The sequence below is a fragment of the Homo sapiens genome, chromosome 17, assembly GCF_000001405.40.
Source record: "Homo sapiens chromosome 17, GRCh38.p14 Primary Assembly".
In the NCBI taxonomy this organism is placed as follows: domain Eukaryota; kingdom Metazoa; phylum Chordata; class Mammalia; order Primates; family Hominidae; genus Homo; species Homo sapiens.
Window position 1 is genome coordinate 78,884,974 of NC_000017.11, and position 21,787 is coordinate 78,906,760.

General features: G+C 53.3%; 2 protein-coding genes across 5 annotated transcripts in view, besides 2 other annotated features; both read right to left on the reverse strand.

Annotated features, from left to right (window-relative positions):
• Positions 1-21,787, reverse strand: part of TIMP2 (TIMP metallopeptidase inhibitor 2) — a 72,411-nt gene that overhangs the window by 31,997 nt on the left and 18,627 nt on the right. The window lies entirely within an intron of this gene.
• Positions 4,037-4,086: a silencer, noted in NCBI's record as "silent region_9076". NCBI's record gives its function as "represses an Ori minimal core promoter by ATAC-STARR-seq in GM12878 lymphoblastoid cells {active_cell/tissue: GM12878}" and the evidence as "EXISTENCE:reporter gene assay evidence [ECO:0000049][PMID:35858748]".
• Positions 5,606-18,228, reverse strand: CEP295NL (CEP295 N-terminal like). 4 transcript variants are annotated; one of them, XM_047435083.1, is made up of 4 exons: positions 18,161-18,228; positions 17,695-17,798; positions 16,812-16,953; positions 5,606-7,486 (listed from the first exon to the last, which is right to left on the reverse strand). In XM_047435083.1, the coding sequence occupies exons 3-4, from the start codon at positions 16,853-16,855 to the stop codon at positions 5,665-5,667; spliced, it is 1,866 nt and encodes a 621-aa protein (XP_047291039.1). In that variant the 5' UTR covers positions 16,856-16,953; positions 17,695-17,798; positions 18,161-18,228; the 3' UTR covers positions 5,606-5,664. The 4 variants fall into 4 exon arrangements, with proteins under 4 accessions (XP_047291039.1, XP_047291040.1, NP_001230469.1 ...); XM_047435084.1 differs by having other exon boundaries at positions 18,101-18,228; NM_001243540.2 differs by lacking the exon at positions 17,695-17,798.
• Positions 17,407-18,007: an enhancer, noted in NCBI's record as "H3K4me1 hESC enhancer chr17:76898462-76899062 (GRCh37/hg19 assembly coordinates)". NCBI's record gives its function as "activates a minimal SCP1, AML or CMV promoter by ChIP-STARR-seq in primed H9 embryonic stem cells {active_cell/tissue: H9 hESC(primed)}" and the evidence as "EXISTENCE:reporter gene assay evidence [ECO:0000049][PMID:30033119]".

The window sequence follows — 21,787 nt, forward strand, 5'->3', positions numbered from 1 at the left end:
AACTGGCCAGCAGGTTGGGGGGGAGCAGGCCAGGAGGTGAACAGGTAGCACCTGCCAGACCCTGCTGGCCCCCCTCAGCCCATGGACAGCTGACCTCGGCAGAAAGCACAAGCAACGCTGCTGCTCCCCGTCCAAGCCTCACGGACCAACAGGGCGACCCACGCACCACTGCTCAGCCACGGAGGCCTTCCTGGGTCCCTGTGGTTTGGGGAGAAGGACCCACAAGGCAGGGAGCAAAGATGGGGCCGGAGGACGAAGGTTCCAGCAAATGCAGAGTGAGGCGCGAACACGGAATCTGTCCCCCAAGGGTGGGGGCAGAAGCACCAAACCAGAGCAGAGCTCTAGAAGGTGCAAAGTGTTCGGAGCAGGAGAACCGTGCGGGGTACCTGGAAGTGCCTTAGGATGAAGGTGAACACGGCCACCACATCTGGGATCCTCACCGCTGCTGGCATGGCAGTGCTCTCTGGAAACCTCAGGAGCCCCACACCCTTCCGGGTGGCTCCATCCCTTGTTTTACAGTCAAATGAAGGCTGGGCAAGGGCTGGGGTGTGAGTCCAGGGGGCACCCCTGAGCCCGCCAACATAGCCCTATGAGGTGCCTGGCACTTCGGGGAGGATTTAGGCTCGCAAGGCAGGGGGCAGGCCCTGTGCACTTGTGTCCGGAAGAGAGGTGGTGGGAAGAGAGATGCTGGAAGCTGGGTGTGAGGGGTGTGAGGGGTGTGAGGGGCAGGAGGTGGAGGGCCAGGCCTTGGAGGAAGTGCAGAAACCTTAACACTCTGCCCAGGTCACCTAGCTGCTGGCAAATGGCAGAGCCAGGGCTCCAACCCCGGCAGTAGGGCTCTCACCAGCTCCTGGTGGAGGCTCTGGGTGGAGGCATGGGACGGGGTGAGCCAGGGGAAGCTGGAGGCTGCTCCACAGCCCTTTCTACCGCAGTCCAGCTGTGCCAAGGTGACCAAGGGGGGAGGGGAACACAGGCACTGCCAGGCCCTGGGATGGAAAGTTACTCATGACATCTCCGTAAGAATCACTGGAGGGCCATGGTTTTGGGTGTGGACATCCTGGAGGGCTGTTTTAGTGCCCACACCAATGCCCTAGTTAAAGAACCACCCTGTCCCCTTAGCCTTCTGCAGGACAGGTGGGAAAGGGCCGGGTGTCTGGTCCTGCTGCCAGGGGACAGTGCAGGTGTGACCGTCCGGGCAGAGATGAGTCACCCTCCACACTGTCTTGCTGCCCGTCTCCACGCCTAGTTTTAGCTCGTGTGGTCAAGAAGGGGCGATTCCTCACCTAGAACACATGGGTCACAAATGCTACCTTTGAAAATGGAAACAAAAATAACCCACTCAAAGGCAGGCTGGTTCCCCCATCAGACTGTGGCTTCCAGGCTAAGGCAGGAAGACCTCGGCTACTCAATGTTTGGGCCCCATTGTGGCCATGGCTTTTAACTCAGTCATGCCATAACACCCTCTCTGCCCTCTCAGACAGAGGTGATGCTACACTGACAGGCGGCTACGCTCCAGGTCTCCGTGTGCAAAAAATAGCTGGGCACAAGGCAAGTGCAGAAACAGCAGGAGCACGGTGACACCCCACCCCGAGAAATCTATGTGGCTTTTGAAAAACAGCAGCCCTCCTGACCCCCAGTTTCCTTCTTAATCATGTTGAGCCTATAGCAAATTGTGGAGTGGCTTTGCAACCCTAGCCCATGACATTCTGGAAGCAGAGGATAGAAAGAAACCAGGCTAAGATCAAAATTTTCTTCTTCTTTTTTTTTCCCCCTAAGACAGGGTCTCTGTCACTGAAGCTGGAGTGCAGCGGCGCAATCACAGCTCACTGCAGCCTCGACCTCCCAGGTTCAAGAGATCATCCCACCTCAGCCTCCCTAGTAGCTGGAACTATAGGTGCACGCCAGTATGCCTGGCTACTTTTTGTTTTTATAGAGACACAATCTCACTATGTTGCCCAGGCTGGTCTCATATTCCTGGGCTCAAGCCATCCACCTGCTTTGGCCTCCCAGAGTGCTGGGATTACAGGTGTGAGCCACCATGCCCAGCCTCGAATTTCCTCTACTTGGCCTGAAGCAGAAAGCCACAGACAACAGAGACCTAAGCTACTAATGATTAAAGAACCCAAAAGCAAAAACAAAAGAGTCTTGTGGGATGCTACTCCCGCCCCGTCCAAATGAGCGTAACGCTTGTTGGTTCCACGAGCTTCGCATTCGCCAGGGAAGTCCGGCTTGAGTTTCTCAGAGGCGTGCACTTGGGGTCCCACTGAGCACCTTGTCCTGCACAGCCATAGTTCCAGCTTTTACTCACTCATCATCTGCGTCCTCCACCAGAACGGGAGTCCTGTGGTTCCATGTGTGTGGCTCACTGCTCATCTCTAGTGACTGGGACAGTGTCTAGGACTCATATCTGTAAATTTATTTATTTATTTTGAGATGGAGTCTCCCTCTGTCCCCAGGCTGGAGTGCAGTGGCATGATCTCAGCTCACTGCAACCTCCGCCTCCTGGGTTCAAGCGATTCTCCTGCCTCAGCCTCCCGAATAGCTGGGACTACAAGTGCGCGCCGCCACGCCCGGCTAATTTCCGTATTTTTAGTAGAGACGGGGTTTCACCCTGTTGGCCAGGCTGGCCTCGAACTCATGACCTCAAGTGATCCACCTGCCTCGGCCTCTCACAGTGCTGGGATTACAGGTATGAGCAAACGCGCCCAGCCTCATATTTGTAAATTAAATATTTTATAAGAGCAGGTCAATCTTTTTCTGGGGAAAAAAAAAAAAATAGGAAAAAAAAAAAAAGAGCAATAAACGGGATCTTTCCCACACCTACATCCCAGCTGTGCCAAAAGCACTTTTTGACACCCGGTCCTTTGATTCAAATGCATCAGAGATATAGTCCTCTTTTTGGAAACAAGCACGAAACTGGAGAAGCTATGATCCTGGAAAGAAGCTCATACACGCGATGAGGATATGCTGCAGTGAAAATGAGTAAGAGGCGTTTGTGTGATGTGGATGAATTCAGTAACCGTGCCGAGGCCAAAAAACCTAGCTTTCAAAAGACTCCACATAATATCCTTTTTATAAAGTTCAAAACCAAGTAAAACTAAACACTATGTTTAGCATACATATATGGATAAAGATAGGGAGGGCTAAACCCCAAGTTCAGCAGGTATATATCTTTTTGTTTCTTTTTTTTTTTTTTCCTTTTTTGAGATGGAGTCTCGCTCTGACACCCAGGCTGGAGTGCAGTGGCGCAATCTTGGCTCACTGCAACCTCCACCTCCCGGATTCAAGCAATTCTCCTGCCTCAGCCTCCTGAGTAGCTGGGATTACAGATGCCACCACCACGCCCGGCTAATTTTTTGTATTTTTAGTAGAGACAGCGTTTCACAGTGTTGACCAGGCTGTTCTCAAACTCCTGACCTCAAGCAATCCGCCCGCCTTGGCCTCCCAACGTGCTGGGATTACAGGTGTGAGCCACCGCGTCCAGTATCTTTTTGTTTCTGAGACAGGGTCTCGCTCTGTCACCCAGGCTGGCAGTGGCGTGATCACAGCTCCCTGTGCGGCCTCAGTCTCTGGGGCTCAAATGAACCTCTTGCCTCAGCCTCACGAGTAGCTGGGACTGTAGGTGCAGGCCGCTATGCTCAGCTAATTTTTTATTTTTTGTAGGATAGGGTCTCCCCATGTTGCCCACGCTGGTCTCGAATTCCTGGGCTCAAGTGATCCTCCTGCGCTGGCTTCCCAAAATGTTGGGATTGTAGGTGTGAGCCATCAGCAGGTATATGTCCAAGGAGGCAGCAGGGGGATGGAAAAGGGAGGTAGCGCACAGGTAGTGAATATTCTGGGTCTTGGGTCTGGGTGATGGGCTCATGGTACTTCATTATATTGTCTACAAAATATACATAAGTAAGGCCATTCGTGGACCAATGATACTAATGTGTCATGAACAAAGATTGGTTGATCTAAGTCAATGTATCTGAGGTTGTTGGAAGGGAGGGAGAGAGACAGACTCTGAAACCATCCTAGTACAGGGATCAGCAAACTATGGCACAAAGGGCAGATGCCGCTCACCACCTATTTTTGTAGAGTCTCATTGGAACCTGGCCACGCCCTTTCATTTACATCTCATCTGTGGCTGCTTCTGAGCAGCTGCAGTAGAGCTGGGTAATTACCACGGGGGCTGCACAGCTGGCAAAGGCTAAAATATTTACTCTCTGGCTCTTTGCAGAAAAAGTATGTTGATCCCTGTGCCTGTCCCTAAGACTGCAATTGGCAGAAGAGAAGCTACCCAGTGTGAGGTCTCCATGGCTCTGGTGGATGCCAGGTCAGTGGCAAAGCTAGCGGGGAGGAAACTGATCAAACACCCAGGTGCCGACACCCTTGCCAGCCCCAGAGGGAATCACCCAGCGGGGCGAGGGTGGCTTGTCTTCTCTTTTCCGTCTACTCTCTTTTCTCTTAAAGTTATAAGAATGTATTAAGCGACGTGCTATTTAAACAATGTTGGTTTTGTTGTGACTTTGAAAGACTAAGAGGTTTTAGCTTTGGTTCAATCTCCGTTAATGTCTCAGCCTTGGCTAAGCACTAAGTGATCTATCTCCTGAAATTGTGCCCGTCTGACCTTGGGTGCCCCTGAAAGGCCAGTGTTTATTTGGCTAAAACATCTGAAGGGCTTAAATGACCTGGAGTCTCCATCTGTGCCTGTGGCCCCTGAAAACAGACTGTCACCCAGGCTGGAATGTAGTGACATGATCGGCTCTGGGAGATGCATCCACAGCACATGGGCTAGACACACCCACTGAAACCCACACGGGTTCCTATTTTTGTATATAGGTGGTTTCCCAAAAGGGACTTCGTTTTAAAGGCAAGACTAGGCCAGGCGCGGTGGCTCAAGTCTGTAATCCCAGCACTTTGGGAGGCCAAGGCAGGCGGATCACGAGATCAGGAGTTCAAGACCAGCCTAGCCAACATGGTGAAACCCTGTGTCTATTAAAAATACAAAAAATTAGCCAGGCATGGTGGCAGGCGCCTATAATCCCAGCTACTCGGGAGGCTGAGGCAGGAGAATTGCTTAAGCCCAGGAGACAGAGGTACTGAGTCGAGACTGCACCACTGCACTCTAGCCTGGGCAACAGAGCAAGACTCCGTCTCAATCAATCAATCAATCAATAAAGGCAAGATTAGGGAAAGAGTCCCTGTGAGGGAATGTGCCCTGGAGGACGGTATAATGACAGATTGCTTTTTTTTTTTTTTTTTGAGACGAGTCTCACTCTGTCACCCAGGCTGGAGTACAGTGGTGCAATCTCGACTCACTGCAACCTCCGCCTCCCAGGTTCAAGTGATTCTCCTGCCTCAATTTCCTGAGTAGCTGAGGTTACAGGCACATGCCATCACACCCAGCTAATTTTTATATTTTTAGTAAAAACGGGGTTTCGCCATGTTGGCCAGGCTGGTCTCAAACTCCTGACCTCAGGTGATCCTGAGGCCGACCTCGGCCTCCCAAAGTGCTGGGATTACAGGCGTGCGCCACTGCACCCGGCCCCAGATTGCCCATTTTAAAGAGGCCTAATAGTCTCTGAGGCAATGACGCAAACACAGATCTTAGAGACCCGGGTACCAGTGCTGGCAGCACCATTATCAGTGATGTATTTACCCCGGGTGGGCCTCTCGCATTTAGCATATGTTCTGAAACTCCCGCAAGCATTTCCGGGCTTCTTCAAGAAACTGCTTGTGCAACCTGTTTTGCTGTAAGATCTGCTGCTGCTGGTCTCGGATCATCTGACTGTGCCGGTCGTCGTCGGCGAGGCTGGTGCCCGATGGGGAAGTGGTGCTGAGCTCAGATCCTCTCTCCCTTTCCTGGGCTCTCGTGGAGGAGGACTTCAGATGGGCCAGTCGAGCTCTTCTTTGCTCCCTCCTCTCTTTTTCTAGCTCAGCTTTGTAGTGGATTTCCAAGCTCATATCTGGGTGTTCCATTTGTTCAAGCGATTCCAGTTGTTTTTGTCTTCTCTGCTCCATCTCTGCTTTCTGCCTTTGCCTGGATGCCGTCGAGCCCACTCTGTCTGCCTGGTCTTGAAGGTGGAGCTGAAGGGAGCCCTCTGCCAGCGTGCCCAGTTTGGGGGTCTCTTGTCCAGATTCAGTGCTATACAATAATGAGTCCTCTTTGTTGATAAATATACCTGCCTCGGGAGACAATGTTTGACTTCCATTTCTAAACGTGGGCTTGACCGTGCCCTGATATTTTTGGTTCTGGGCCTTGCCCATGAACGTTTTCAAGTCGGTCTTGGACGCTGCCTGCTGCGCCTCCTCCTCTGCTGGGCTCCTGGGTTCCCCGGCAGGCAGCATCTCTGGGTCTGCCATTTTCTTCCCTCTTGGGGTCCCAGCGCCACACTCTTGCATCTCTGAGAAGGCATGCCCTTCCCCAGGTCTCTGGTCCATCCTGGGCTTCAGTGCCAGGTACAAGCACAGGTGTTTTTTCAGCTTTCTGTTTATATTAAACAACTCTTCAAAGGCCAACTCCAGCTCTTTCTGCCACTTGTTCTTCTCCCGGAGCGTGCACTGAGATGCTGGGGACACGGCTTCCCTTCTGCAGCTGGAATCAGCTGGCCACAGCTGCCCGAGGTCTCTCAGCTTCCCCTCCAGACTCTGTCCCTGAGAGCGACTGGTCAGGGCTGGAACAAAGCAAACTGCCCCCTTTCCCAGTTGCCTCCTCCCCGCCCGAGCTGTTCCTTTCTCTTTTTCCTCCACAAGCCCGATTTCTCCCACAGCAGCCACGAGTGGGTTTGACCTTTCTAGGTCCGCCCCTTTGCTCCTCCGAGGATGGATGGCACAGCGGCCACCCCCAGACTTGGTCGAAGGTTCTGGCCTTCCCTTTCTCTTCTCAGGCGGGGCCAGGTGAGAATTCATCCGACCCGTGGCTTTTGTAGTCTGTGGTTTCTCTGGACTCGCTGCTGTCTTCCGGGGCCTGGAGTGCCTGGGGTGTTGCTGGCCCAACTCTTCCCTGCAACTCCTCTCTTCACTAAGGGCTGCTCTATGCTTCTCCTTGGCCCTCGGGGGCCTGGCTGATCTTCGCTGGATGGGCCCCTGCGAGTCAGGCTCATTTTCCCTGGCCCGTCCTCCTCCCCAGCCCAACAGACGTGCTGACTGCAGCCTGTCCAGGCCACCGACGTGCAGGTGCTGTGCCTCCTGATACCCTCTCCTCAACTCCTCAGCCAAGCGCTGGAGCTGGTAGTTTTTCCACAGCTTGGCATCCGCTCTTCTCTGCAGAGCGAGATCGCCTTTGCCCCGGGCTTGTAGCAATTTGTGCTTTTTCCTCCAAAGCAGGTCTTCGTTATCAGGACAGAGGCTCAGCCACATGGCTCCATCCATGTTTCTGTTCCTGTCTGCGAACCCAGCAGATACAGCTTCCCAGGGAAGGTGCTTGGAGCCAAGAGTGGAGGGTTCAAGGGGCGCCCCCGGGCCTGAGGAGCCACAGAAGCCACAACGTTCCACAGCAAACCTACGAGGAAGGGAGCACAAGTGCAGCTTTCCAGATCGCTCCCAGGAGAGTGAGCAAAGCCCTGGAGACAAGCACACGGGATTCTCACTGTGAGGACAGGCTGCAAAATGTGCCCCTCCAAGCTCTCTTGACCCGTGCCCACCAGGGCCCACTCTCAGCCTCCCAATTTCTGTCCTGTACACTTTTGACAAGAGCCTGTAGGGCAGCTGTTTTGAACAGAGTGTGGTGTTGTTTCCCAGGGGACATTGGCAATGTCTGGAAACATTTTCTATTGTCACAAATGCAGGGAGGAGGTGCTCCGGGCCTGCAGCTGGGTGGAGGCGAGGGAGGCTGCTGAATACCCCACACTGCACAGGAGGGCTGCCCAAGACAGTGAATAACCTGGCCAGAGATGTCAGTAGTGCCGAGACTGACAATCCCACCCAAAGGGCAAGGGTTAGGATTCAGGTAGGGATGGAGGGGCACAAAGGGCAGCCCTTGGAAACAAATATTGAGAAGAGCAGGTGGAAGTAAAAGAGGAAGTCTGGGCCTCTGGAGGGAGAATTGATCGTAAAGGAAAGGAGGAAGAGACGGGGCAGGGAGGAGCCTGCCAAGCATGTGTGTGTGCAGGAGTGTGTGCACGCGTGTGCAGGGGTGTGTGTGGGTGTGTGCACATGCACATGTGTGTGCAGGGGTGTGTGTGCGTACATGTGTGTGCAGGGGTGTGTGTGCATACATGTGTGTGCAGGGGTGTGTGCAAGGATGTGTGTGCATGTGTGTGCAGGGGTGTGTGTGCATGTGTGTGTAGGAGTGTGTGTGCAGGGGTGTGTGTGTAGGGGTGTGCGGGCAAGGGTGTGTGTGCAGGGGTGTATGTGCAAGGGTGTGTGTGTCTCCATGCATGTGTGTGCAGGGGTGTGTGTGCAGGGGTGTGTAGGAGTGTGTGTGCAGGGGTGTGTATGCAGGGGTGTGTGTGCATAGGGGTGTGTGTGCAGGGGTGTGTGCGTGGGGCTGTGTGTGCAGGGGTGTGTGTGCATAGCGGTGTGTGTGCAGGGGTGTGTGCGCGCAGGGGTGTGTGCGTGTGCACATCTGTTTATGTTTCTGTGCACATGCCTGCACATCTGTGTGTACAGGGGGGTGTACAGGTGTGTGTATGTATGCATGTCTGTGTGTGCCTCTGTGTGCATGTCGGTGTGTGTATGTGTATGTGTCCGTGTGGGGCATGCAGGTATGTATGTGTGCATGCAAGTCTGATACTTGAATCCAGTAGAAACCAGAGAGGAGGAGAAGCTGGTGTTAGCTCTCTCTTCATGACTCCCAGCTCTTTCCTTTTATAATGATCAGAGAAGGACTCTTCCAGGTCTCTTTGGCATCAGGAAGGGACCCATGCTTTGGCAGGCCTTCCTAGGAAAGGAGGGGCATTTACACCAAAACAGTACGGGATTGTGTCTGTTGCCACGGGTAGCTGATGCCAGAAACAGCCAGATCTGTGAGCTGCAGGAAAGGCTAAGGGACAGCCACAGTCGATATGGAGTCCCCCTCCACTGCTCCTTCCCTTCTTTCATCTTAGTCTATGTGGAACCAGGCTAAGCCTTTGGAGTCAAACGTAGTTGCAGCTGAAGTCACATGTAGTTGCAGGAGTCAGAAAATACTGCATCTACATTACAGCTAACATTAACCGTGCAGGCTCCCCTCTGAGCACTGGGCATGTATCCGTTCATCTTTTTTACAGTAATCCTTTGAGATACGAAGCTCCTACCCCCCCCGGTTCACAGACAGGGAAACTGAGGCAGGCAGAGATGAAGATGCTTAACCCAGATCACACAGCTGGTAAGTGGCAGAGACAGGCCCTCTGCTGCTTGGACGAACCCCAGCACCTTTGACCAACCTCAGGTGGTCACACTGCAGCTGGCTTTGACTTAAGTCTTCTAGTGGGAGGTCCTTGCACCTCTTGGTAAATCAGATCACACAATTAGAATAGTGGTTAATATTATATTTAGCCAGATCTGCCAACCACCATGATGATCAAGAGAGAAAGGGAGAGAGAAAGCTGGGCCCTTCAATGCAATGATTGAGATTTTTGACAAAGGTGCCACGGCAATTTAATGTGGGGAAAGAATAGTTTTTTTGTTTTTCAACAAATGATGCTGGCACAGTTGGATATCCACAGGCAAAAAATGGGAATTCACAGCCTTATCTCACCCTATATACAAAAATTAACTCACAATGGATCATAGACCTTCATCTACAACTATAAACGCTTAGAAGAAAACGTAGGTGTATATTCATGACCTTGAGTCAGGCAAAGATTTCTTAGATACAACACCAAAAGCACAACCAATAAACAAAGAAACGGATAAGCTGAACATCATCAAAATTAAAAGAAAAAAAAAACCTTTGTGCTTCAAAAGGTACCATAAGTAAAGTGAAAATACAAGGTACGGACTGGAAGGAAATATTTGCAAATCATATATCCAACAGAAGACTTGAATCCAGAACATATGAACACCTCTTACTACCCAGTAAGATGGCAAATAATCCCATTTGAAAATCAGCAAAAGAAGGACAGGTGTGGCAGCTCACACCTGTAATCCCAGCACACTGGGAGGCTGAGGCGGGCGGATCACTTGAGGTCAGGAGTTCGAAAGCAGCCTAACCAACATGGTGAAACCCCGTCTCTACTAAAAATACAAAAATTAGCCGGGTGTGGTGGTACGCACCTATAATCCCAGCTACTCGGGAAGCTAAGGCAGGAGAATTGCTTGTATCTGGGAGGCAGAGGTTGCAATGAGCTGAGATTGCACCATTGCACTCCAGCCTGGATGACAGAGTGAGATTCTGTCTCAAAAATAAATAAATAAAAATAAAAATCAGCAACAGATTTAAATAGATATTTCACCAAAGAACATAGATGTGTGGCTAATACAGCACATAAAAACATGTTCAACGGCAGCGGTCTTTAGAGAAATGCACACTGACCCTGCAGTGTCCTGCCACCTCACATCCACTCCAACGGCTGTCGTCAAAAAGACAGACAATAGCAACTGTCAGTGAGGAAGGAGGGGGAGGAATTGGAACCCTGTGCACGCTGCTGGTGGGAATGGAAAATGGTGCAGCCACTTTGGAAAACAGTCTGGCAGTTTCTTAAAAAGGGAAACACAGACTTACCCTATGACCCAGAGATTCCACTCCTAGGTCTATAACCAAGAGAAGGCCTGAGTCCACAAAAAGAAACCAAAGCTCAGAGAGGTTGAATAACTTTCCCAGCTCACATGGAGGAGTTGGCCTCAGACACCAAAGACCACCAGGAACGGCCACAGGGATGTCCAATTAGGTGTGGTGAGGTCGGGGCTGCTGTGAATGCCCCTCTGTGTGTCTCGGAAGGTGCCTGGAGGCCCCAAGGTTCACAGTCTATTTCTGTGCCAAGAGCCGTTGGCTCACACCCCTTGTCAACCAACAATTAGTAAAACCTGGACAAGTCTTCCCTGCTCTGGAAGTGCCCCCAGCCCGTTCAATGACCTCAGTGCACCCCGTGCCAGCCCCACTGGCGTGGGCATCCCAATGAAGCAGCGTCAGTTTTCCTGGAGACACGCAAACGGGTAAAAACTTAACACATTTGGGCAGAGATCTTTGGGATAAGTCTAGAAAATTGCAGCCAGCTCCATCCTTCAGGAATCGATCCCCGCTCTGACACCATCAGATGCAACCTCGTCCCCGCTACCCCAGCTCTCCTTGCTCTCCCCTCTGAGACCCTCCCCACTTACTAACTTGAGGCAGAGGGCAGGGTCTCACGTGGACTTGTGCAGGCACTGGCAGGGAAAGCAACAGAGCCTTAGCTGAGCCCAAGATGACCAAGGAGAAACAGCCGTTCACCTGTTGCACAGCCTGCTGGGATGCCTGCCTCTGCCTGTGATGCCCAGGCTGATCTCCAGGCAGCCCAGTGTCTCTCCAGCCCTGCCAGACAGGACGTCGGGTGCCCTTGGCAGGACACTTGCCAATGAAGACAGCCATGGTTCCAATCAGGGCCCTCGCTACAGCTCCCCTCCCAGAGGCACCTGCCCTCTCTGGTTGCTTAGAATATTCTAGAAGGGGCAGGGGTCCTGGCGCTCCTCTGTCCTCCACATCCTCTGAGTGTTCTGAGCATCCTGGGCTGCTTTGGTGTTTTCTACTCCCCTGCTGCCCTCTGGTCCTGCCACCCCGAGCTGACAAGCCTGCCTTCTGCTGGCTGCCTTCAACCACTCAGAGAAACCACAGCTCCCCCCTCCGCAGAAGCCGCGCTCGGAGCAGCAGAAGGAAGGCGAGTGGACACCAATCTGGCCTCCGGACGGCACCAGGGCCTCCCACAGAGCGGAGTGGACACTGGGCCCATTCTCCTCTCTTGCTCTCTACAGCCCCGTGGCCCCAGCGCAGGAGCCAGCCCATGGCAGCTCCACCCCAGACCGATCCGATCCCAGCACCTGGGCCCAGGAATGTGCTTGGCCACCAGATTCCCAGCGATTCTCACCAAAGTCAGGCAACCTCTGGCCTACAGCTTGAGAATGACGTCCAAGCAGCTCGCCTTTCCCTGGGCGGCCGCTCAGACAGCTTTTCAGCCAAGGCAGACCTCACCCAGGGACCCTCCACCCAGGCAGCGTGGAAGTGCCAGGGCCCACAGACAGCACCCCCCCGCCCCCCGCCGGCCTCCTCACCCCCTCCGAAGGAGACTCCAGGCCTGCTGTGCACTCCTGTGGCATCGGGGGGCGGGGGGCAAGCATCACAGTCATAGGGAGTGTGAGGCGCCCAGAATGGGGGCTCCACAGTCAGGCCTGCACCCCGGCTGCAGGATACCAGATCCTGTGGTTCACTGTGAGACCTCCGCCTCTCTCGTCTGCCTCACGCTGCCCCCTCGCACCCCCAAGGTATGACGGCATTTGAACAATGCACGTGCCCATCTAGAGCCTTGGGGTGGGCCTGTGAGAGAGTGGCCGCCCACCCCAGTCCCCACCAGGTGCATAGTCCTGCGGCTAAGTCAGGGCGGTTGTAACAAAGGCTCAGACCCTCCAACTACCAGGCTGTGTTGTGACGAGGCTGCTGGAGCCCCAGGCACCATGACGGGAATGGGTGAATCCACCCACAGTGGGTGACTCTCAATGTGATACTAGCCCGGTACACTTAGACACCCAAAAATCAACGCGGCAGACGTTGTATCCCCAGGAGAAGGACCCCCCCGAACAGACACGTGGGACAATGGCAAGCATGGCCATCCCTGAGGACAATGGCAGGACCCAGAGTGCCTCTCTCCTCCTCAAGGCATGAACTGGCCCCTCCAGATACAGGGACAACCTTTTCTTCCCACCTCGGCCTGTAACAGACACGACACAGGCCATACCCTTGGCTAGAGTCACTGCAACATGATCCAGAGGGTGACTGTGAAAGGAGCCAGCGGGGCTGCTGTGTCGGTTTTCCTGGAGACACGGAAATGGGTACAAACTTAAAACATCTGGGCAGAGGTCTTTGGGATAAAGTCCAGAAAATCACAGCTGGCTCCATCATTCAGGAATTGATTTCCCCCATGACACCATCGGATGCAACCTTGTCCCTGCCGCCTCCAGCTCTCCTTGATTTCCCCTCTGAGCTCACAAAAAGAAACAAAAGCTCAGAGAGGCTGAATAACTTTCCCAGCTTACACGGAGGAGCTGGGTTTGAATCCAGACATCACACTGATCAGCACGCAGACCCGCAGGGTTTCATACTCTTCCGGCATTTCACGTACACCTCTCTCCATCTCACCGCCTCACCATAGGAGGTGAGGCCTATTCCTATCCGCACAATCTGACAGGGAAATTGAGACTCAGAGAGGTTAAGTAACTTGCCTAAGGCCACATAGCTCGTAATCAGGGCAGCAGGGATTCCGGGCCGAGCAGGCAGGCCCCTGATCCAGGCTCCTAGCCTGCTGCCCAGGGAGGTCAGAGCTGGAAACCACTTCCACAGCACAAGGAGACTCTGCTTGGACTGTGCTTGGCCTCACGTGACCTCTGACCTCCCTGGCCCTCCTGTGACCCTGACAGGTGTGCTGAGCTTCTGAAGGGTGGGAAGGCCTGCAAGGGGCCTGCGTGCATTCTGTGTGCATCGACCCAGGACACCACGGTTGGTGCCTCTGAGTTCATCACGTCGATCATCCCCATCTTCTTTCTGCTCAAGTACTTGATTTGTCAACATGCACAGAAGGGTGAGACCTGGCCATGGTGCTGCTTGAATCTTGTTAACAGTTAGGCTCTGATTCAATAGTCTGGGTGGGGCCCAAGACTCTGCATTTCTTTTTCTTTTCTTTTTTCTTTTTTGAGACGGAGTCTTGCTCTGTTGCCCAGGCTGGAGTGCAGTGGTGCAATCTCAGCTCACTGCAACCTCCCCCTCCTGGGTTCATGCAATTCTCTTGCCTCAGCCTCCCAAGTAGCTGGGACTATAGGCACGCGCCACCATGCCTGGCTAATTTTTGTATTTTTAGTAGAGATAGGGTTTCACCATGCCGGCCAGGCTGGTCTCAAACTCCTGACCTCAAGTGATCTGCCCGCCTTGGCCTCCCAAAGTGCTGGGATTCCAGGCATGAGCCCCCGCACCCGCCAGACTCTGCATCTCTAAAGTGCTGGGATTCCGGGTGTGAGCCCCCACGCCCGCCAGACTCTGCATCTCTAAAGCGCTCCCAGGGATGCTGATGCTGCCATCTGGGGGACCACGCTTGGAGTACTGCGGCCCTGGCAAACCATCTCTTCCAGGAAGCTGCATCTTGCTCTGCCTTCCTCCCCTGCCAGCAGCTCAGCCCTGATCATCTCTCACCTGAGGCCCTTAAAAGCCTCCCAATCAGCCTCTCTGCCCCCGACCCCCAGGCCTGCACCCCGTCCTCTCCCGCACTGCAGCCCAGCGCTGTCTAACTGAGAGACCTGGGTTACATTTCAGCATCCCCCATGTGATTCCCTGCTGTCCACACCAGCAAGTCTCTGAGTGCAACCCGCAGCCACGTGCATCATAATCAGCTGAGCTGCTGGTGAAGGGGTAGATTCCTGGGCCTCACCCCTGACAGATCCTATCCCAGCCCCTGCGGGAGGGGCCCAGGAATGCAGCCAGTTCACCAGCTGCCCTGCCAAAGCCTGGCAATCTCTGGGCCTAGAGGCTTGAGAACGGTCAAGCAGCTCGCCCTGGCTCCCCTGGGAGCCACCCTAGCCTGGAACGCTGCACACCAGACAGGGGTGGTAGAGCTCCTGGCCATTCCCAAATGCCCCACACCCAGCAGCGCCTGGAATGTGCTCATGCAGGTTCCTCGTGACATGGACACACCCCCTTCCCCATCCTACCCGCATGTCCCCAGCCCAGGCCTCGTTCCCACTCCCCCAGGATGCCCCAACCCTCCAAGGGAACAAAGAGAATGCTCTTCCCTTTCTCCAGAAGCCCAGCACCCGGGCCACATAGTCAAGCGCTTTGTCTTTGAAACATAAAAATAGCTATAGAAGGGCTCCGTTAGCTGGCATCGGCCAGAGAGAGAACATTTCCATATAATTAGAGCTTACCCTTTCATATGGAAAGTTAGACATTTCTCTGTCTAAGGCGCCTACGTAGAATATGTAATTTGACCTTCTTTGGGGGAAATTTTGGATTGTCTTTGGGATGATAATATAGGAAATCCCTCGAGGGCTTTTAAAATGTAAAGAACAGAGGTCCCATAAACTAAGTGACCCCAGAATGCAATTTGGGTTTTTTAAGTCGCCTTTTTAGAGCTTCCTGTGTCCTCCCTTCCCTGGTCATAACTGTCTGACAGCAGCCACACAAACAAGCTTATTAAAATTGTGGTTTTTTTGGCCGGGCGCGGTGGCTCACGCCTGTAATCCCAGCACTTTGGGAGGCTGAGGTGGCTGGATCACCTCACGACAGGAGTTCGAGACCAGCCTGACCAACGTGGTGAAACCTCGTCTCTACTAAATACAAAAAATTAGCCAGGTGTGGTGGTATATGCCTGTAATCCCAGCTACTCAGGAGGCTGAGGCAGGAGAATCACTTGAACCCAGGAGGCGGAGGTTGCAGTGAGCCAAGATCGCACCACTGTACTCTAGCCTAGGCAACAGAGCAAGACTCCATTTCAAAAAAAAAAAAAAATGTGTTTTTTAATAAAGTAAGTAGAGTCCGAGGTGGTGGTGGGCTCTTCCACAGGACCACTGCCTGAGCTTTCACACCTGACCTTATCAATTCAAAGCTGTGGGCATCCCCGGATACAGATAACCCTTGGGGGAGGTGGAAAATTGTTGCTAGACTCTAGCCTAGAGGTTTTTAACAGCTTGCACAACTGGCCAAATCTTACAAGATAAAAAAAGGTAATGGGAACACATCTAAAACTTATATGTGGGTCCCTAAATCCAACTATGCAAGTACAGAGGTGGGTGTGTGGAGCAGCACAGGGGACAAAAGACGCTGGGCCACCAGAAGGGCCAACGTGACTGTCCCCTGAGTGAACAGAAACGCCTCTAACATGCGAGCGAATGGTGCAGCCCAGCCAGCCCGACCTCACCTGGCCATGCTAGGAGGCAGTGGGCAAGCGGCAACGCTGTGGTGCCCAGGACGCCGGCAGGCACAGCGCCACGTCCACGGGCACCGCCCGTTCCCACCCTGCAGGACGCCACAGCATCAGACGAGACGGCCCGTGTGAAGCGCCGAGAACAGAGTCTGGCTTCCGGGAGGGCTCAGGAAATGCCGAGAGCTCGGCAGAGACACCCACGTGGTGCTGGATTCCACGCACGAGGAACCGACGGGCAGACGTGGAGCTAAATGATGGTCAACAGCTACGAAGTGCCTGTGCTCTAGAAATGGCCAATTTGATCATGTCACGGGATAAAGTTTCAAAATCAATAAAACCGTGATGAAATGATCAGGAATAAACCTGTCCAGAACTGTTCAAGACCTAAAGGAGATGCACGGGCTGAAGAACAAGGAGCAAATCTGAACGAGGGAGAGGTGTGTCTTCCTGGACAGTTCTCGGGAGAGGAGGAGGGCGGTAAGGACGGGGAGAAGAGGCCGCAGGCTTGGAGTCCAGGAGGAGAATGAACTCCTTTGGTCAGGAGGGGCCCACTGACCAAAGGTCCTAGGAAGAAAAGCCAAAGGAGGTGAGGTGGGGCAAGGGTGTTTGCAAAGGATAGAAAAGTCTAGAATGGCAGAGTATGGTGCTTAAGAGTACTATGTGACCTAGGCCAAGCGACTTCACTCTGGGTGCCTCAGTTTGCTCTTTAGGATGGGGATGATAACAACAGCAGCACCCATCTACAGAGATGCCAGTGCTTGTCACCACGAGAAGCACCTGAAATGCTTGGGGAAGAGGGGTGGTACTTACTGTGTGTGTCTCCAGATGACTGAGCTAGACCACCCAGAACACATTACAGGGAGGCAGAAGCTGACAGGAGGGCAGGAAGCACTGTCTCCAGGGCTGTCTTGAAATCACTGGGCTGACTTTGTAGGTAGTGAGACGCCCATCACTGGAGGCATCCGAACCAAGCCCAGATAAAACAAACATCAGAAACATTTTTAACTCCGTTTCTCTGAGTTCTAGCCTCTAAAAATACCCTCCATGACACGCTGTGTGCTGCCAGAGGCTTGGTTTTCGCCCTCTTCTCCCCAACTCTTAGCCACGTCCCAGTGGTGGCGGGGGGACGGGGGTCCCAAGCCACTGCACTGGGTTTTGGTTTCACTATGTTGCCCAGGCTGGAGTGCAGTGGTGCGATCTCAGCTTACTGCAACCTCCACCTTCCGGGTTCAAGCAATTCTCCTGTCTCAGCCTTCCCAAGTAGCTGGGACTACAGGCGCACGCCACCACACCCAGCTAATTTTTGTATTTTTAGTAGAGACGGGGATTCACCATATTGGTCAGACTGGTTACAAACTCCTGACCTCAGGTGATCCACTCGCCTCGGCCTCCCAAAGTGCTGGGATTCCAGGCATGAGCCACCATGCCCAGCCTGCACTGGGTTTTGGACTGGCTGTGTTAGCATCACCTGGGGCAGGGGTGGGTCACGTTAGAATGAGTCCTGGCTAGGCCCACAGCAGGCTTTTCCACCCGAATACTGGGGCCACAGCTCATGAATCTGTGTGTATCCATATCCTGGGCTGGGTCAGCTCTCCAGGGTGGAGATGGTTGGGCAGGCAGCCTCTGGGGGCAAGCTCGGGCTCAGGCCTCCCCTTGACCAGCTTCACAGAGACAGACACTGAGGCAGACTGACCTCCAAACTCCCAGCTGAGACGCCAGCTCCCCACGTGGGGGGCTTACAGCTGATGCAACCGGTGGCTCACTAAACATACCTCGACAGCGTCCATTACCGCTTCCCTGCAAACCTCAAGATCCTAAGCACCCAGCCTAGGTCAGGGGTCCCCAATCCCAGCAGGTGTTCCTGCTTCCTGAAGACCCCCCAGCCCAACTCCTCCAACAACCATATTCATCTCCAACCCAGTCCCACCAGCTTCCCTCACTCTCCTTCCCATCACACTGCCTGTGGGGAGCCCCGTGGTGCAGGGACTTTGCCGCTGGCCTTGCGAACCCACGGCTTGGAGCCCCTCCTTGGCCCACTCTCCGGGGCCCTCTTGGGAGCCTCGCTAAACAGCTGGGCATGGAAAGAACCCCACCCTCACCACAGATGGGAACAGACACAGAGAGCCTCAGCCCCGCAGTGGTCTCAGGGGCCCACTGACCAAAGGTGGCCGGAATCGCTTCCCCGCCTCCACCTGCAGCCCGGCCTCTGCCCTGGCTGGCTACTCATAGCAGGCTGTTGCCATGGGAACAGCAGAGCTGTTGAGCTGTGACATCATGGCAGGGGTGAGGTCAGGGACAGCTGTGAGCCAGCCAGGGGGCAAGCGTGTAGGTTAGGGGATCAATCATAAAGATTTGGCTCAAGCAGCCGGGAGCCATGGGGGCACCTGAAGGCACTGTTTAAGGAGGTGTGGGTGAACAAGGACAGTGCAATGTACAAATGCTCGTGGCCATACCAGGCAGAGGACATCTTTTTGTCCCCAGCTGGCTGCATGGAGACCTCCCAGGGTGTCATTCTCTCTGAGCTGTCAGGCCATTAAGGAGGTACACTTCAAGGTCAGGGTTCCTGACAACGCCTGCCATCCCTTCTCCTGTAGGGACAGCATCTGTTCACGCTTCTAAACAGCTCCAGAAAGCCATCGTTAAACTGAAACCCACTGGAGGCGGGGGAAGAAAGAATCCCGTCAACCACCTGCCCACACAGGAGGAGAAGCCACACGTACTTGGCCTCGTTTGAGGGCTAGTTCCCCACAGACAGTTTGATCAGAAGGATGGGCGAGGGAAGCTGGCAGGGCGAGGCTGGGGATGAACATGGGACACTGGGGGAGTCTGGCCGGTGCAGGGGGTTTCCAGGAAGCAGGAGTAGCTGCTGGAAATGGGGGCCCCTGACCTAGTCTGGGTGGTTGGCATCTTAAGGTCTGTGGTAAAGTGATGACTGGCATTGTCAAGATATGTTTTTTGTTTGTTTTTTAGACAGTCTTGCTCTGTTGCCCAGGCTGGAGTACGGTGGCGCAATCTCGGCTCACTGCAACCTCTGCCTCCCGGGTTCAGGGATTCTAGTGCCTCAGCTTTCTGAGTAGCTGGGACTACAGGTGCATGCCACCATGCCCAGCTAATTTATGTGTGTGTGTGTGTGTTTTAGCAGAGACGGGGTTTTACCATGTTGGCTAGGCGGGTCTTGAACTCCTGACCTCAAGCGATTCCCCTGCCTCGACCTCCCAAAGTGCTAGGATTATAGGCACGAGCCACCGCCCCCAGCCCAAGATATGTTTTAGTAAGCCGCCAGTTGGATCATCTGTAAGCAACTCACTAGAAGCTTCCAGCATCCTCCACAAATTTGACAACTGAGAAATGTGGCTGGGAAATCATGATTTGGGTCCGAAGAAGTGAAAGCAACAATCCTCAGGTTGTTGTTTCTTGAGAGAAGAAGGTAAACAGCAGGAATTCGGCTGAGGTGTCCAAATCTCGGGGAGGATGAATTCTCAGGAGAGCTGAACCTGAGACAAAGCCCTTTGTCCTGGGCTGGAAGGACCCTGGAAAGGTTATCTGGTCCCTGACTCAGGGAAGGGAGGCATTCTCCCTGCAGGAATGTTCTCGATCACAGTCCACCACCACCCCCCTACCCCCGCCCACTTTTGGAGTCCATCTTCGCAGCCCTTGATGATTCATTTTATGTCAGCTTGACGGGCTAAGGGATGCTCAGATAGCTGGGAAAACGTGATTTCTGGGTGGCTCTGGGAAGAGACTGGCATCTGAACCGGGGGACTGAGTAAGAAGATCCCTCCTCGCCAGGTGGGGCACCATCACTCAATCTGTTGAAAGCCCGGACAGAACAAAGAGACAGAGGCAGAGGCAGGCAAACCCTCCCTCTGCAAGAGCTGGGACATCCAGGCTGGGCGCGGTGGCTCACGCCTGTAATCCCAGCACTTTGGGAGGCCGAGGCAGGTGGATCACCTGAGCTCAAGAGTTTGAGACCAGGCCAACATGGTGAAACCCCATCTCTACTAAAAATACAAAAATGACCCGGGCGTGGTGGCGCACACCTACAGTCCCAGCTACTCAGGAGGCTAAGGCAGGAGAATCGCTTGAACCAGGGAAGTGAAGGTTGCAGTGAGCCGAAATCGCACCACTGAACTCCAACCTGAGCAACAAAGTGAGACTCCATCTCAAAAAAAAAAAGAGAGAGAGCTGGGACATCCACCTTCTTTCTGCCTTGGACCTCAGAGCTCCTGGGCCTCAGGCCTTTGGGCTCCAGGACTTACCCCAGTGGCCACCCCGCTTCTCAGGCTTTGAGACTCAGGCTGCATTACTGCACCAGTGACCCTGCTGCTCCAGCTCACAGACAGCAGATTCCAGGACCTCCCAGCCTTCATACTTGCATGAGTCAATTCCCACATAAATCCCATCTTACGCAGCTGGATGGAGCCTATTGGTTCTGTTTCTCTGGGAAACCCTAATACGGACCCATAGATACAAAATCTTCTATATGCTTCTTCCTCGGAGAAGATCCCTACATCTTTTATCCTCTCAGCGTGGCCTTGACGCCCATTCTAAAGCAAGGGGAGAGGTTCTAGTGAGGAGGAAATAGCATGGGGACCAACAGGATGGCACGCTAGGCCTTCGATGGCCCTTGCAGAATGTCCAGCACGACTGCCAAGTGCTCGTCAGGTCTTTTCTGGACTGAGGACATCTCTCTCAAGCCTGGGCTCTCCTGACGCTGCCTTGGCAAGCTCTAGAAGGCAGCCCCATCCTCTGGATTAATCCGCCCTGCTAAATGTTCTCTCTGGCATGGGATTCACTACTGGCCTAAGGCCAACTCAGCCTTGAGAGTCTGGGTCCATACTATTGTTGACTGCAATTAGAACCACATATTAGCAAATGCTAGCTTTTAAAAATTACAGGTACAGGCAGACCTCAGACATACTGCGGGTTGAGTTCCCACAGAATCATAATAAAGTGAATATTGAAATAAAGTGAGTCACATGACTCTTTTGGTTTCCCAAACCAATATATATTCCCAAATATAAATGTTATGTTTACATTGTACAGTAGCCCAGTAAGTGTGCAATAACATTATGTCTTATCAATGCACATACCTTAATTTACAAATACTTTATTGGCCGGGGCAGTGGCTCACGCCTGTCATCCCAGCACTTTAGGAAGCCAAGGCAGGTAGATGGCTTGACCCCAGGAGTTTCAGACCAGCCAGGCAACACAGTGAGATCCTACCTCTATAAAAAACTAAAAATAGCCAGGCATAGTGGTGCGTACCTGCAGTCCCAGCTACTCAGGAGGCTGAGGCAGGAGGATGGCTTAAGCCCAGAAGTTCGAGGCTGCAGTGAGCTAAGATCATGCCACTGCACTCCAGCCTGAGTGACAGAGCAAGGTCCTGCCTCAAAAAAAAGAAAAACCCAAAACTTGAAGAAATAAAAATAAAAATAAAAATATTTTATTGCTTGAAAATGCTAACAATCATCTCGACCTAGTGAGTCCAGTCTTTTTGCTGGTGGAGGGTCTTGCCTCCATGTTGATGGCTGCTGACTGATCAGGGTGGTGGTTGCTGAAGATTGGGGTTGGCTGTGGCAATTTCTTTTTTTTCCTTTTCTTTTTTATTTTTATTATTTTTTTTGAGACAGAGTCTCGCTCTGTTGCCCAGGCTGGAGTACAGTGGTGCGATCTCGGCTCACTGCAACCTCCATCTCCCGGGTTCACGCGATTCTTGTGCCTCAGCCTCCCGAGTAGCTGGGATTACAGGCCTGCGCCACCACACCTGGCTAATTTTTGTATTT